The 16147-nt window shown below is 44.7% G+C and overlaps 3 annotated features.

Moving 5' to 3' along the window:
- Positions 2620–2839: an enhancer, noted in NCBI's record as "active region_12023". NCBI's record gives its function as "activates an Ori minimal core promoter by ATAC-STARR-seq in GM12878 lymphoblastoid cells {active_cell/tissue: GM12878}" and the evidence as "EXISTENCE:reporter gene assay evidence [ECO:0000049][PMID:35858748]".
- Positions 2900–2959: an enhancer, noted in NCBI's record as "active region_12024". NCBI's record gives its function as "activates an Ori minimal core promoter by ATAC-STARR-seq in GM12878 lymphoblastoid cells {active_cell/tissue: GM12878}" and the evidence as "EXISTENCE:reporter gene assay evidence [ECO:0000049][PMID:35858748]".
- Positions 10715–10954: an enhancer, noted in NCBI's record as "active region_12025". NCBI's record gives its function as "activates an Ori minimal core promoter by ATAC-STARR-seq in GM12878 lymphoblastoid cells {active_cell/tissue: GM12878}" and the evidence as "EXISTENCE:reporter gene assay evidence [ECO:0000049][PMID:35858748]".

A 16147-nucleotide genomic window follows, 5' to 3' on the forward strand; every position in this document is an offset into this window, starting at 1 on the left:
CCTGACCAACATGGTGAAACCTCGCCTCTACTAAAAACACAAAAATTAGCCAGGTGTGGTAGCAGTCTCCTGTAATCCCAGCTACGTGGGAGGCTGAGGCAGAAGAATCGCTTGAACCCAGGAGGAGGAGGTTGCAGTGAGCTGAGACTGGGCCATTGCACTCCAGCCTGGGCAACAAGAGGGAAACTTTTGTCTTAAAAGAAAAAAAAAATGAAATGGGATTACGGTGCCAACATGGTTGCCAGACAGACCAGGCGTCTGCCAGGGAGTGGTTTCATATCAGATGACCTGCTATCTCTGTGAAGTTAATATTGTACCATGGCCTTATCCAGCCCTGCTGCAGTTCTTTACTGTGAGTAATAGGAAGCTGTGAAACAGCACTTTTCATAACACAAATGGCCAGTTACTTGGCCTGTCTCTGTCCCACTGCCATTGCCCAGGCTCTGAGCTGAGTGCGAGTCTCAGCTGGATGTCTGTACTGCCTCCCAGACAGCCTCCTGCGGTTTGTCTTACCTCCTCCAATCCCTCCGCCTCTTTACCACTCGAGTATTTTTATGACACACAAAACCTGCTTTCTTACTCCTCTGCTTACAGTCCTTCAGTGATGCTTCGCACTGCTCAGGAGAAAGTCTGAGCTCCTTTGCTGGAACACAAGGGCCTCCAGATCAGTCCCCTGCCCACTTCTCCAAACCAGGCCCCTGCTGCTTCTCCAGCACCCAGTGTCTAATCTCCTTGGCCTGGAATACGAGGCCTCCAGACTGGGACCCTGCTGCTTCTGCAGCACCTGGTGTCTAAGTGCCTCCTTCTTGATGTCTGCTCTTCAGTCACAAGGAGCTGCTCATCTCTCCCTGAGGACACACGTGCACAAACACACACACATGCACACACAAGTGCACACACAGAGAGGAGCGTGCTCTTCTACTCCTTCTCCCTGCAGTCCCTGGAATGCACCATCTGTCCTAAACCAAAGGCCCACCCCCTCCCTGAAGTCCACCCTGGTCTCACCAATCACAGGTCCGATATGCAAAAACACAGATATAACTTAGAGTGCTCACTCTGTGCCGGGCACGGACTTAAGTACCTCACAGGCATTAGCTCTTTTAATCCTCACAACAACCTTATGAAATAGGTTCTGTGATGAGCTCCATTTTACAGATGAGGAAACTGAGGCTTGGAGATTTAAAGTAACTTGCCTGGTTTCACTTAGCTGCCGGCCCCCTTTTCTCCCCCCAGAACACTGACTACATTTCCTTCATAGCGTGTTAGTGCATTTAATAATTTTCATAACCACCAACTCTAATGATACATGGTGGGAAAGGTCAGTGCCCTCTTGGTTTGTGGTCCCCACAGTCAAGCTCAGGGCCTGGCACCCAGCAGGTGCTCAGTAATGCTGTGACTAAAGCACTGGTCTGTGTTTCTTCAAGGAAGCTCTTTCTTCCTGCATCAAAATCCTCTTGGCTCAGAAGTGGACTCATGGGAAGGGCTACGAGGCTTGTGCCGCAGGGTCCTTCCCTTGTGTGGGGCCCCACTAGCAATGCACACAGATGCTCATCTAGTTTTGTAAAGTAAGATATTATTTTTTGGCCAGGCACGGTGGCTCATGCCTGTAATCCGAGCCTTTGGCAGGCCAAAGTGGTAGGATCGTTTGAGCCCTGGAGTTCAAGGCCAGCCTGGACAACATGAGGAAACCCTGTCTCTACAAAAAATGTAACAATTAGTTGGGCGTGGTGGTGTGCACCTGTAGTACCAGCTATTTGGGAGGCTGAGGTGGGAGTCCTGGAGGTGGAGGCTGCAGTAAGCAGAGATCATGCCACTGCTCTCCAGCCTGGGTGACAGAGCCAGAGTCTGTTTCAAAGACAAAAAAAAAAAAAGAAATTATTTTTCTTAAAGATGCCCCCTATATTTGTAATCTTTAGGGCCCACAAAACCAAGGTCTGTGTGAGAGGCTTGCTGAAAATGCAGCTTTCAGCTGGGCATGGTGGCTCACACTTATAATCCCAGCACTTTGAGAGGCCAAGGTAGGAGGATCACTTGATCCCAGGAGTTTAAGACCAGCCTGAGCAACATAGCAAGACTCTGCATCTACAAAAAAGTAAAAAATTAGCGGGGCGTGGTGGTGCATGTCGCTGGTCCCAGCTACTTGGGAGGCCGAGGTGGGAGGATCACTTGAGCCCGGGAGGTCGAGGCTACAGTGAGCCATGATTGAGCCACTGCACTCCAGCCTGGGCAACAGACCGAGACCCTATCTCAAAAAAAAAAAAAAGAGAATGCACATTTCTAGCCCTACCCCCAAGCACCCAAATCTTGGAAGATTCTTGTCTTACCAAAGTCTGAGCACCACTATGCGAAATGTTTCTTCCCTACCCCAGTGATTTTTCTATTTGCTTTAGGGCTCAAAAGAGTCATTGCAGTGGTGGGGTCAGCTATTAACATCTCTCTTTTCCTGGAAACCAGTTGATGCCTATAAGAGGGGTTTCCTCAGCTCTCTGAATAACTTCAATTTGTTCTTTTTGGGCCAAGCCCTGTGCTGCCTGGTCCTGCTGATGAGAGTTCGGCTAGAGGGAGGGGTGGGGAGGGGCCTGAGCTGGGGGACCAGCAGGGGGGCAGCCTGCAGCCCTGAACCCTAATCCTCGTCACTGTCCCTTCTCTGCCTCATAAAGGTGTTCTTGCTCTTTCTCCTTTCTAGCCAAGTCTCCTCCCTCCACATATGTGTTCTCATCTAGATCAGTTTCGATTCCCGCTGGTGGAAAGCAGCCTCAGGCAGGGCCACTGCGCAGGAAGGGCGGGCCTGGGTGCAGGCGGGGCTCCGGGAGTCACCCCCAGACGCGCGGCTCCCCTTCCTTGTCCTCCGCATGACGCCCGTGCCGGAGCCCACGTGAGCCTTTGCCAAGGAGAGATTCAGAGATATGAGCAGAAAAACTGGAAGATGGACTTCTTCAATAAGGCAGCGGGACGGTTTGGCTGATGGAAGATGTTTCCCGGAAGCCTGTTCACGCTCCACCCTGAAAGTCCCAGGGCCGTGAGAGTCAGCCGGGCCGCCGAGGCGGTGCCCTCCAGGCTGCAGGATGATCCAGGGACTGTTTTCCTCAGCACTGTGTAGGTTTCAGCTTATGAGTTCTGTCCATGTTTTGTGAGATTTATAGCTAAGTATTTACCTTTTCGAATGATTATAAACAACATAGTAGTTTTAATTTTAGTGTCTACTTGTTTTTTGTTACTATATAGAAATACAATCGATTTTCATATATTTATGTTGCATCCTCTGTGCTTCTAAACTCACTAGTTTTGGAAGCTGTTTTTTGTTTTTAGATTCCTTAAAATTTTATATATGGGCAATCATGTCATTTAATAATCAACCTGTATGCCTAAAATAATCAACCTGTATGCCTAAAATAATCAACCTGTATGCCTTTTATTGTAAGAAAATCCCTAAATACTGGGATTACAGGTGGTGAGCCACCGTGTCCAACCTGAAACTTTTTTTTTGGTGATTTCAAATGAACTTGACTTTTACTGTAATTATACCTAAAGTATTTGTAAACAATTGTTTAGAACTTCTATTTGTCATGGACTTTTGAGTTTATTCTTTGGATCATATAAAAAGACTTTTTTTTTTTGTTTTTAAAGTTATAAATCTCTGTATGCACTTTGCTTTTCTTAATTAAACATAATCCAAAGTAAGCTGTGACTCATTTATTTATTTATTTATTTGAGACAGGGTGTCGCTTTGTCACCCAGGCTATGGCTCCATCTTGGCTCACTGCAGCCTCAACCTCCCAGGCTCAAGCAATCTTCCCACCCACCTAGGCCTCCCGAGTAGCTGGGACTACAGGCATGCACCAGCATGCCTAGCTAATTTTTGTATTTTTTGTAGAGACAGGGTTTCTCCATGTTGCCCAGGCTGGTCTCAAGCTCCTGGACTCAATCAGTCCTTCTGCATCGGCCTCTCACAGTGTTGGGATTACAGGCGTGACTTTGCCACCATCCCCGGTTTGTTTTTTTTCAACAGGCAGAGTTTAACTATCACGGAAGCCTCCCGCCTCAGCCTCCCAAAGTGCTGGGAATACAGGTGGAAGCCACTGCACCCATCCAGCTATGATTCTTCGGTAGTGTACAAGATTGTACACTACCAATGTATCTGATTTTCAATTTTTCTTGAAATGTGATGCAAGTGGTGTCAGCCTGCTGATAAGTTAACATTGTTCAGGATGAATCTTCTACAGAAATAATTGCTTTTTTTCCCCAGTATTTAGTACTGAAAGATATTAATGGTAATATATTTCTGGTTTAATATAAATTAAGCATGTTTTCTAGTTGTGCGTGAATGCTGGCTGGCAACTTAGTAAGTTTTGACAGTTGTTTAAATATGTAATGTTAAGCTTAGGTTTTAAAAAAGTAAAACTTATAAAGGAAAATAAAAAGAATCTCAGGATCCCCAAACTCCTTATGCCAAAGAGAAAGTTAAGCCTGGAGGTTGTGCCACACAACACTGCCATGCTTTTGCCAAGTGCAAAGCTGCTACTTCACAAGCTTGTGTGAAAGCATGAAGCATTAGCCAGACCCCCACAGGATGCAAAAGGCCTCAGGCAGCTCCAGATGTTTGCCCCACAAATCAGTCACACTTAAATATTTTGCTGCCTCAAAAACTTTCAAGATGTCAAGATGTATATCCACCCGTAAAATGAGGGCATGTTGATTGTAACTTTAGGTCTGCAATCTAAATGTAGCTCCTGAAACCAATGTTGTTCCTTTCTACACGGATAATGTTGATTCCAAGCTTATCTTTCCAGGTGCAGAACAAAGCGAAGATGAGATTAATCATGCTTCCACCTACCCGGAGACACCTGCACAATTAATTCTTCCTTTACTCCCTTTTTTTCCTTCAGAAGTTCACCTTATCTTATGTAAAATGCAGATCTACTGGGCACTAACTAAAGTCTCACAAGAATATAACCATTCCCTGTCTCACTACTTACCTGCCCCTCATCCTACATGCCTTCCCCACCCCTCTTTTTTTTTTTTGAGATAGAGTTTCGCTCTTGTTGGCCAGGCTGGAGTGCAATGGCGTGATCTTGCCTTACCACAACTTCCGCCTCCCAGGTTCAAGCGATTCTCCTGCCTCAGCCTCCCGAGTAGCTGGGATTATAGGCATGTACCACCACGCCCATCTAATTTTGTATTTTTAGTAGAGATGGGGTTTCTTCATGTTGGTCAGGCTGGTCTCCAACTCCCGACCTCAGGTGATCTGCCTGCCTCGGCCTCCCAAAATGCTGGGATTACAGGCTTGAGCCACCGTGCCTGGCCATGCCTTCCCCTGTTTAAGGATATGTATAAATACTAAATCTCCTTAAAACCTCTTCAGAGAATCCATGCCACAGACTCTTTCTGTGCCTTGTGTTTTTCCTGGGCACTTCCTCAAGCTTGGACTCAATAAACTTTGGCTGATGGAGACTTACCTCAGCCTGTCATTTTTTTTGTTTAACAAACTGATAAACTGCTGTTTATTATTTACTTTTAAAAAAAGAAAATAAATATGAATGTGTTTGGCACATTCAAAAAAATTTAAGAACTGCTTTCAAAAGACGCTGTTGAAAAAATGAAAAGATCGTCACAGGCTGAGAGAAAATATTTGAAAATCAGATTTCTGATAAAGTGCTTGCATCTGTCAAGTCTTGTTAAACACCAACAACAACAAAAAAAAGTACTCTCATCCAAAATATGTAAATTACTCTCAAAATTAAATAATGAGAAAACCATCTAAGTTTATAAATGGGCAACATGTTGGAACAGACAATGCAAAAAAAGAAGAGACACAGGCATAAATAACCAACTGAATAGATGTTCAACATCATCACTCTTTAAGGAAATGCAAATTAAAACCATTAATGAGACACCACTCCACAATTATTAAAATGAAAACATTTCACTCAGGCTTGAGAGGCTGATAATGAGGTTCTGCCTGTCTTGTCACCCAGAGTTATCTGATACACCTTAGGAATGCACCCTGAGACTGGGTAATTTACAAAGAAAAGAGATTTATTTTGGTTCACAGTTCTAGAGGCTGGGAAGTCCAAGATTGAGCAGCTCATCTGGTCAGCTTCTGGTGAGGGCCTTTGACCTGTGTCCTAACATGGCAGAGAAGCAGAAGGGCAAGCAAGCATGTGCCAGAGAGAGAGGACAAAATAGGCTGACCTGCTTTATAACAACCTACTCTCAGGAGAGCTAATCCATTCTCTCGATAACCCACCCAGAGGAAGTCATTCATCCATCCTAATAACCCAGTCACCTCTTAAAGACCCTGCCTCCAAACACCATCATGTTGGCAAGTAAATTTCAACATGAGTTTTGGTTGGCACAAACCACATTCAAATCATAGCACCTGTCAAGCAGAGAGACCAGCCTGTCCTGAACACCCTGAAGTAAGTGCCTAGGGTAAGGCCCTGTGGGGGGATGGGGAACAGAATAAACCTGGCAGTGGTAGATTCTCAGTCTGGTTCATAGAGACCATCATACCTACATTAAAAAAAAATTTTTTTTTTGAGACGAAGTCTTGCTCTTGTTCCCCATGCTGGAGTGCAATGGCATGATCTCGGCTCACTGCAACCTCTGCCTCCCGGGTTCAAACGATTCTCTTGCCTCAGCCTCCCGGGTAGCTGGGATTACAGGCACCTACTACCATGCCTGGCTAATTTTTGTACTTTTAGTAGAGACTGGGTTTCACCATGTTGGCCAGGCTGGTCTCAAACTCCTGACCTCAGGTGATCCGCCCACCTCAGCCTCCCAAAGTGCTGGAATTACGGGCATGAGCCACCATGCCCGGCCACATTTTTAAAAATTTTAATTGCAGGCAGGTGCAGTGGTTCATGCCTGTAAATCCCAGCATTTTGGGAGGCCAGGGGCAATCTATTAACACAGCCAAGCGGGGACAGCAGATTGCTAGAAGGAATGGGACACAGTCACACAGGCCAAGCTAGCATGGGCTATCGATGGGGTGGGGAGGAGGAAGGCAGAGGAGATTTAAATTATGAGATGTACCTCTTAGGGAAGATTTTTGGAAGGGGTGATTAGAGCAAATAGGGAATGATTTGGAGGATTCTAGTGAGAAGAAATATGGAAGCCTAAAGATGAACTTCCTTGTTCACAACTTGCCTGCCTTGATAAATCTGTGTTGTTCATTACTATGTCCCTAGCACCTAGCGCAGAGCCTTAAGCATAGTGGAACTTAGTAAATATTTGTTGAATGACTTAAAAAACATGATATGCTATATTAATATCTCACTTAAAGCATTGCTATCCTTCTAAATATTTCTACTTAGTTTAAAATACATAATTATTAAATTAACTTTGGGCCAGGTGTGGTGGCTCACACCTGTAATCCCAGCACTTTGGGAGGCTGAGACGGGTGGATCATTTGAGGTCAGAAGTTCGAGACCAGCCTAAAAATACAAAAATTAGCCAGGTGTGGTAACGTGCACCTGTAATCCCAGCTACTAGGGAGGCCGAGACAGGAAAATGGCTTGAACCTGGGAGGCAGAGGCTGCAGTGAGCTGAGATTGCACCTCTGCACTCCAACCTGGGCGACAGAGCAAGACTTGAGACTCTGTCTCAGAAAAAAAGCTGGGCCAGGTGCGGTGGCTCACACCTGTAATCCCAGCACTTTGGGAGGCCAAGGCAGGCGGATCACCTGAGGTCAGGAGTTTGAGACCAGCCTGGCCAACATGGTGAAACCCTGTCTCTACTAAAAATGCAAAAATTAGCCGGGTGTGGCAGTGGGCGCCTGTGATTCCAGCTACTCGGGAGGCTGAGGCAGGAGAATCTCTTGAACCCGGGAGGTGGAGGTGAGCCAAGATCACGCCACTGCACTCCAGCCTGGGCAACAGAGACTCCATCTCAAAAAAAAAAAGGCCGGACGTGGTGGCTCATGCCTGTAATCCCAGCACTTTCTGAGGCCGAGGCAGGCAGATCACCTGAGATCAGGAGTTCAAGACCAGCTTGGCCAACATGGCAAAACCCCATCTCTACTAAAAATACGAAAATTAGCCGGGTGTGGTGGTGCATGCCTATAATCTCAGCTACTTGGAAGGCTGAGGGAGGAGAATCGCCTGAACCCAGGAGGCAGAGGTTGCAGTGAGCCGAGATTGCACCACTGCGTTCCAGCATGGGCAACAGAGTGAGACTCCATAAAAAAAAAAAAGATAATAAATAAAAATAAATCAATAAACTTTGAAATTTTACAAAAGATGGTTGTACTAAAATTAATTTATGATCTTTAACTTACTTTTTCCTTCATTTGTGCTCTTATCTAATATTTATGTATATCCATTAGTTTTTATTATCTGAGTAACGCATGGGCATGCTTGTAAAAGTTCAAAATTTAAAAAGTCTAGAAGGTTAAAGTTGCATAAATGAATATATCACATGATTTTTACATAGTCATAATTGCATATAGTTTTATATTTCTATATTCTCACTTATTTTGTAAATACTTTTCCATCTCTCTAATAGTCACTAATTTAAATGACTGCAAAAATTCCAATCATGTTATGTCATACTTAATTTAGCTATTCCCCTACAATTGTACATATTTCAATTTTTAAACATTTTTTAAAGCACGTAGTGTTGCTTACACAGAATATATATATATATATATATCTGTTGATATAAACAGAATATATGTACTTGAGATATCAAGGGAAAAAAAAACAAAGTGTCTTTTTTTTTTTTTTTTGAGACAGTGTCTTACTCTGTCGCCCAGGCTGGAGTGCAATGGCACGATCTTGGCTCACTGCAACCTCCACATCCTGGGCTCAAATGATCCTCCTGCCAAAGCCTCCTGAGTACCTGGGACTACAGGCATGTGCCACCATGCCTGGATAATTATTGTATCTTTTATAGAGATAGGATTTCATCATGTTGCCCAGGCTGGTCTCAAGTTCCTGGCCTCAAGTGATCTGCCCGCCTCGGTCTCCCAAAATGCTAGGATTGGAGGCATGAGCCACCACACCCAGCCCAAAGTGTCTTTTTCCTATTCTCTTACACAGTCATTCAGCACAACACTTTTGATACCAGATATGTGTGAGTTTTTTTCCTCACACACCAAACAAGCAATTCTGTAACAGACACCAGCTGGATGTCTTATAATTCAATTCAATTCTGACACCTGGTGATCCCACAGGTTACGGCTCAATGCCATAAAACCATCCCCCATTGCTGCGAGGCACGAACTACAACATGTTACTACACTGAATACTGTAGGCAACAGTAACACAATGGTGAGCATTTGTGTATCAAAACGTATCTAAACACAGAAAAGATATGGTTAAAATACAGTTTATAATCTAATGGGACCACTTTCATATATGTGGTCCATCACTGACCAAAATGTTGTTGTGTGGTGCGTGACTATATAGATACATGGTCATCCCTCGATACTGAAGGGGAATTAGTTCCAGGATCCCCTTGAATACCAACATCTGAGGATGCTCAGGTCCTGCAGTTGGCCCTGCTGAACACCCGGATGTGAAAAGTAAGCCTCTGTAACTGTGGGTTCTGCATGCTGAGAATACTGTATTATCCCCATTTGGTTGAATCCACAGACGTAGATCTCGTGGATATGGAGGGCTGACTGTACATATTTATCTATCTATATTTTTTCTTTTGAATTATTTTCTTATACTATATTTAATTCTGCTGATTTCTTTGCAGAGGTAAACAGAAATGATAATTTTTTTCTTGCTTTACAAAAGAGCAAGAAAATAAATTATAAATGTGCCATTCCATGGAATTTTTTTGTTGGACAGAACTAGATTGTGGTCTAAAAAAATCTTGAGAATATATATATGTTTGTGTGTGTGTATGTATGTATAAAAGATTTAAAAAGTCAGCAGGCCAGGTGGCTCATGTCTGTAATCCCAGCACTTTGGGAGGCCGAGGCAGGCGGATCACTTGAGCCCAGTTCAGGACCAGCCTGGGCAACATGATAAAAACCCCGTCTCTACAAAAAATACAAAAAAAATTTAGCTGGGCATAGTGGTGCAAGCCTGTAGTCCCAGCTACTCAAAAGGCTGAGGTGGGAGGATCGCTTGAGCCCAGAGGTGAGGGATGGCAGGGTGGGGGTGGAGGTTGGGGTGGGGTGGAGGTTGCAGTGAGTCGAGATTGCGTCCTGGGTGACAGAGTGAGACTCTGTCTCAGAGAAAAAAAAAATAAGTCAGCAAAATTTTTAAAGTCTCTAAAGTGATTAAAAATTAAATACGTTTTTGCCTTTCAGAGTTTACAATTTGGTAGGCTGTAGGGACCAGCCCCACAGGGTCGGTGGGTCTCTCCCCATCTGCGGAGATGAGAGAGTGTAGAAATAAAGACAGAAGACAGAGATAAAAGAAAAGACAGCTGGGCCCGGGGGACCACTACCACCAAGATGCGGAGACCGGTAGTGGCCCCGAATGCCAGGCTGCACTGATATTTATTGGATACAAGACAAAGGGGCAGGATAAGGAGAGTGAGCCATCTCCAATGATAGGTAAGCCCATGTGGGTCACATGTCCACTGGACAGGGGGCCCTTCCCTGCCTGGCAGCCGAGGCAGAGAGAGAGAGGGAGAGAGAGAGGCAGCTTACACCATTATTTCTGCATATCAGAGACTTTTAGTACTTTCACTAATTTTGCTACTGTTATCTAAAAGGCAGAGCCAGGTGTACAGGATGGAACGTGAAGGCAGACTAGGAGCGTGACCACTGAAGCACAGCATCACAGGGAGATGGTTAGGCCTCCCGATAACTGCGGGTGAGCCTGACTAATGTCAGGCCCTCCACAAGAGGTGGAGGAGTAGAGTCTTCTCTAAACTCCCCCGGGGAAAGGGAGACTCCCTTTCCTGGTCTGCTAAGTAGCGGGTGTTTTTCCTTGACACTTAGACTACCGCTAGACCACGGTCCGCCTGGCAACGGGCGTCTTCCCAGATGCTGGCATTACCGCTAGACCAAGGAGCCCTCTGGTGGCCCTGTCTGGGCATAACAGAAGGCTCGCACTCTTGTCTTCTGGTCACTCCTCACTATGTCCCCTCAGCTCCTATCTCTGTATGGCCTGGTTTTTCCTAGGCTATGATTATAGAGTGAGGATTATTATAATATTGGAATAAAGAATAAGTACTACTAATGATTAATTATATTCATATATAATCATATCTAAGATCTATATCCGGTATAACTATTCTTGTTTTATATTTTATTATACTGGAACAGCTCGTGTCCTTGGTCTCTTGCCTCGGCACCTGGGTGGCTTGCCACCCACAGTAGGTAGGCTAATCAATTTGCCCTTGGGAAGATGATGTAAGTCAGCAAAAGAATTCCTAATTTAAAATGTAGCTGTTAAGGGTGATATGTGAGCATGTTTAAGCAATGTGACAAATGCTTTACCTGCATCATTTTATTTAATCCTCAGAAGTGTCCTATGAAATAGCTCCATTTTGCAGATGAGGTTTATATTTTTCAGAAAGGTCAGTCACTTGCCCAACATTGCTAGTCAGTGTTACACAGCTAGCAAAGTGTTGGAGATAAACTGTAGACTCCAGAGCCCATGCTCTTAATCACTCCATAGACATTCAGGCCATTTGGAGGTAGGCTTCTCAATATCAATTATGTCTTAATTGAGGGTATTTGTTTTCCAATTTATCTGAAAGGAGCTCAAGAAAATTAAAAAGAAGACTGGATGCAACCTCATTAACAGATGAAGCTCTTGTCTGGAAATATACTTTCAACACTGACAGTTATAATCAAATGCCTTTTAATAAGTAATTGTGCTGAGTGATGTACCTTCAAGCGAAATCAAGCAAACAGGCAGAATCCATGTCCTCTAGAGATGGACCCTTGTGACTGACTATGCCAAAGACATGGATGTTTGAACAATGAACCAATAACGAGTGTGTTGAAAGGCAAGATAAAATACAGCATTTACCTGGTATCAAAGCATTGGACTTTTCCACTCCACCAGAGTGGGCCTGGCAGGAAAAGGAGGAAGGCATCCTGGAAGGAATGGGACACAAAAGTGAAGAAAACACAGATGATGGATGCTGCTTTGGGTTTAACTTGAAAGACCAAAGATAGGTGGGTCTGAAGCATGGGACTGATGCCAAGCCAAGTCTTATTTGGTTTCCTGCCCAGGACTCACCAATCAGAGATTGGTGAGAGACTCTGTCTAACTCACCAATCAGAGATTGGTGAGAGACTCTGTCTAACTCACCAATCAGAGATGGGGCCCCTGTTCCCACCCAATGTCAGTCATTTAACACACACTTTATCTTCTACCCAGCAGGCCTGCCCATTTGCCCTGGGTGTTCTGCTGTTCTGGAACTCAGAGAGAGGCTGTGTCACTAGGCATAAAGATGGATCCTCTTATCTCCTGGCGAAAGCACTTTGCCCTGACCTCCTCCCCTGCACAGTTGAGGAGGCATGAAGCCTGTATTGTGAGGGTAGAGCTCCTTCCTGGCATTCTAGAGGAAAATTCCATCAGTGCCTTCTAGATACCAATCTGTCCTCTTGGCCTTATCCAATCTATTTAATACATTGTATTCAATCTGTAATATCCCAACAGTAAATTCACTGCCAACAACTCTGTTCTTTGGCTTATGATTTGCTGCAGTATGTGTCATCATGAAGCTCTGTCCTCAAGCTCAGAGAGGTGTACAGAAGCCACTTCCCTTATAATTTATTTTATTTGATGTGTGGGTGGGAAGGGGGAGACTAAACCTCCTTATTCGCATCCTCCCTGGAATATTTCTTCATTATCTGCCAATGAACAAGGAGTGTGTCTTTCCTATCTCCCTCTTCCAACATTTATATATCACTGACCACACGCCAGGCACAATTCTAAGTGTTTTCCTAATATATATATATATATATATATATATATATATATATATATATATACACGTATACATGTATACGTGTATATATGTATACATGTATATACATATACACGTATATGTATATGTATATACATAAAAATATATGTATATACATAAAATATATATATATACATATATATGTATTTTTTTTTGAGACAAGTTCTTGCTCTGTCACCCAGTCTGGAGTGTAGTGGCACAATCACAGCTCACTGCAGCTTTGACCTCCTAGGCTCAAGTGATCGCCCACCTCAGCCTCCCAGGTAGCTGGGACTATAGGTGCATGCCATTATGCCCGGCTAATGAATCTTTTTTTTTTTTTTTTTGAGATGGAGTATTTCTGTGTTGCCCAGGCTGGAGTGCAGTGGCATGATCTCAGCTCACTGCAACCTCCACCTCCCAGGTTGAAGTGATTCTCGTGCCTCAGCCTCCCAAGTAGCTGGGATTACAGGTGCCCACCACCATGCCTGGCTAATTTTTGTATTTTTAGTAGAGATAGGGTTTCACCATGTTGGTCAGGGTGGTCTCGAACTCCTGACCTCAGGGATCCACCCACCTCATCCTCCCAAGTGCTGGGATTACAGGCGTGAGCCACTGTGCCCAGCCTTTCCTATTATATTAACTAATTTAATTTTCATAACAATCTCATGAGGTATGTCCTATTGTTATTCCCATTTGGCAGATGAGGCAAAGAGAAGTTAAATAATCTGTCCAGTGATGCACAGCTAGTAATTGGCACAACTGATGTTCAGATCTAGCAGGCAGACTCCAGCATCCTTAGTCTTTGTTGTTGTTGTTGTTTAAGAGACGGGGTCTTACTCTGTGGCCCAGACTGGAGTGCAGTGGTACAATCACAGCTCACTGCAGCCTCAACCTCCTAGGCTCAAGCAATCTTCCCACGTAGCTGGGACTACAGGTGTGCACCACCACGTCCAATTAATTCTTTAATTTTTTTTGTTTTCTTTTTTTTGGAGACAGAGTCTCGCTTAATCCCCCAGGCTGGAGTGCAGTGATGCGATCTCGGCTCACTGAAACCTCCGCCTCCCGCGTTCAAGAGATTCTCATGCTTCAGCCTCACAAATAGCTGGGATTACAGGCGCCTGCCACCACACCCGGCTAAGTTTTGTATTTTTAGTGAAGACAGGATTTTGCCATGTTGGCCAGGCTGGTCTCAAACTCCTGGCCTCAGGTGATCTGCCCACCTTGGCCTCCCAAAGTGTTGGGATTACAGGCGTGAGCCACGGCGGCTTAATTCTTTAAAATTTTTTGTAGAGACAGGGTCTCCTTGTGTTATTCAGGCAGGTCTCGAACTCCTGGGCTCAAGCAATCCTCTCATCCCCAGCCAAGCTTCCCTGCTTTAACCAGCGACCTGTGCTGTCTCCAGGAGAACATCAGAGTGACACCTAGTGGACGTTTGTTAACATCATAAGGAGGGAATAAAGTTCAAGGCAAGTCAGGGAGCCAGACTGGCAGAAGTATAGATGATCAGGAGATGGCTGCGGACTGTAGAAAGAAACTTACATTGCAGGGGAGGCAAACCCTGGCATACCAGACTCCCTCTCCCCAACTTTAGCAAGTGCTGGCCTCAGTTTGTACCAAACCATATCCATTGCTCACTGAAAGTGCTTGATATTGCCTCTTTTCTGCAGCTCTTGAGTTAGGTTTTTTTTTTTTAGATGGAGTCTCACTCTGTCACCCAGGCTCGAGTGCAGTGGTGCGATCTCAGCTCACTACAACCTCCACCTCCTGGGTTCAAGCGATTCTCCTGCCTCAGCCTCCCGAATAGCTGGGATTACAGGCATGCACCACCACGCCCAGCTAACTTTTGTATTTTTAGTAGAGACAGGGTTTCACCATGTTGGCCAGGCTGGTCTCAAACTCCTGAGCTCAAGTGATCCACCCGCCTCGGCCTCCCAAGGTGCTAGGATTACAGGTGTGAGCTATTGTGCCCGGCCTAGTCAGATTTTTATTTTTTTTTATTTAGAGACAGACTCTGGCTCTGTCACCCAGACTTGAGTGCAATGGTGCCATCATAGCTCACTGCAGCCTCCAACTCCTGGTCTCCAGTGATCCTCCCACCTCAGCCTCCCAACTGGGACTACAGGTGCATGCCACCACGCCCAGCTAATTTGTTTATTTTTTGTAGAGATGGGGTTTCAATGTTTCTCAGGCTGGTCTTGCACTCCTGGCCTCAAGAGATCCTCCCACCGCAGCTACCCCAAGCTTTGGGATTATAGGTGTTGAACCACCATACCTGGCTGGATATGGATTTTTAAGTAAGTTTTATTTACAAAGGAGTTCTTTGCAATATTGTATCTGTGATGTCCCTCTAAATAAATGCTTTTTCCAAGCCCCTGCCTACCAGACATTACCCAGTACACATCTACAACCCCACGAAGACCTTGTTACTGCTCACCCTCCTGGAGAAGCCCCAATGAGTCAACATTGTCATTAACTGGCAACGCTGATTGAGAGCTCTTAGGGATCTAGATTCTTCACAAAGCTGCATGGTGCAAGCAGTGCCCTAAAGAATTTGCCCCTCTGTAAAAGGCTTTTGTCCTCTGTGCTCTGATATTTGTGTAACTTGTTTTTTGTTTGTTTGTTTTTTAGGAAAAAGATTTACAATTCATTACATTATTCACATAAAATACATTATTTTATGAGCTCCTCCAAACAATTTCATAAGAGATCACAGCCTTCACTTGGTAGAGAGGAAACTGAGGCACAACTAGGTGACATGAGTTGCCTAGAGTCATGCACTAGGAATGGCAGAGCAAAGCTCAGCCTCAGCCATGCCGTCTGTGCCAGGTCATTGCGTCTCTGTGGGCCTTGCTTTTTTTTTTTTATCTACAGAGTAACGGGATTGGAATAGGAGCTCTGTCAGGGTTCTTCCAACTCAAACATTTTGTAACACTAAAATTCTGAGGGCTACTTTTCCCTGAAAGATCAGGTAACCAAGCCTCCTGAATTTCACATTTCCACTCATTGAGGTGTGGGGGGAGGAGGGAGATGAAAGCACCTTATTTACATCTACCCAGGAACGCGACTTCATTATCTCTCAGTGAACAAGGAGTATGTCTTTCCCATCTCCCTCTTTTTCCTAACACGGACAGGGATAGAGTTGTTTTTGAAAGGGCTTTCTCCCCTGTGCTCCTTATGGACATCAAATAACTAAGATGGTGAAATTCTGCAGTAAACACAACAACATATTTGCCTCAAAACCTGTGGATTAGGCTGGGCGCGGTGGCTCACGCCT

Source organism: Homo sapiens, chromosome 17 (genome assembly GCF_000001405.40).
Source record: "Homo sapiens chromosome 17, GRCh38.p14 Primary Assembly".
In the NCBI taxonomy this organism is placed as follows: Eukaryota; Metazoa; Chordata; class Mammalia; order Primates; family Hominidae; genus Homo; species Homo sapiens.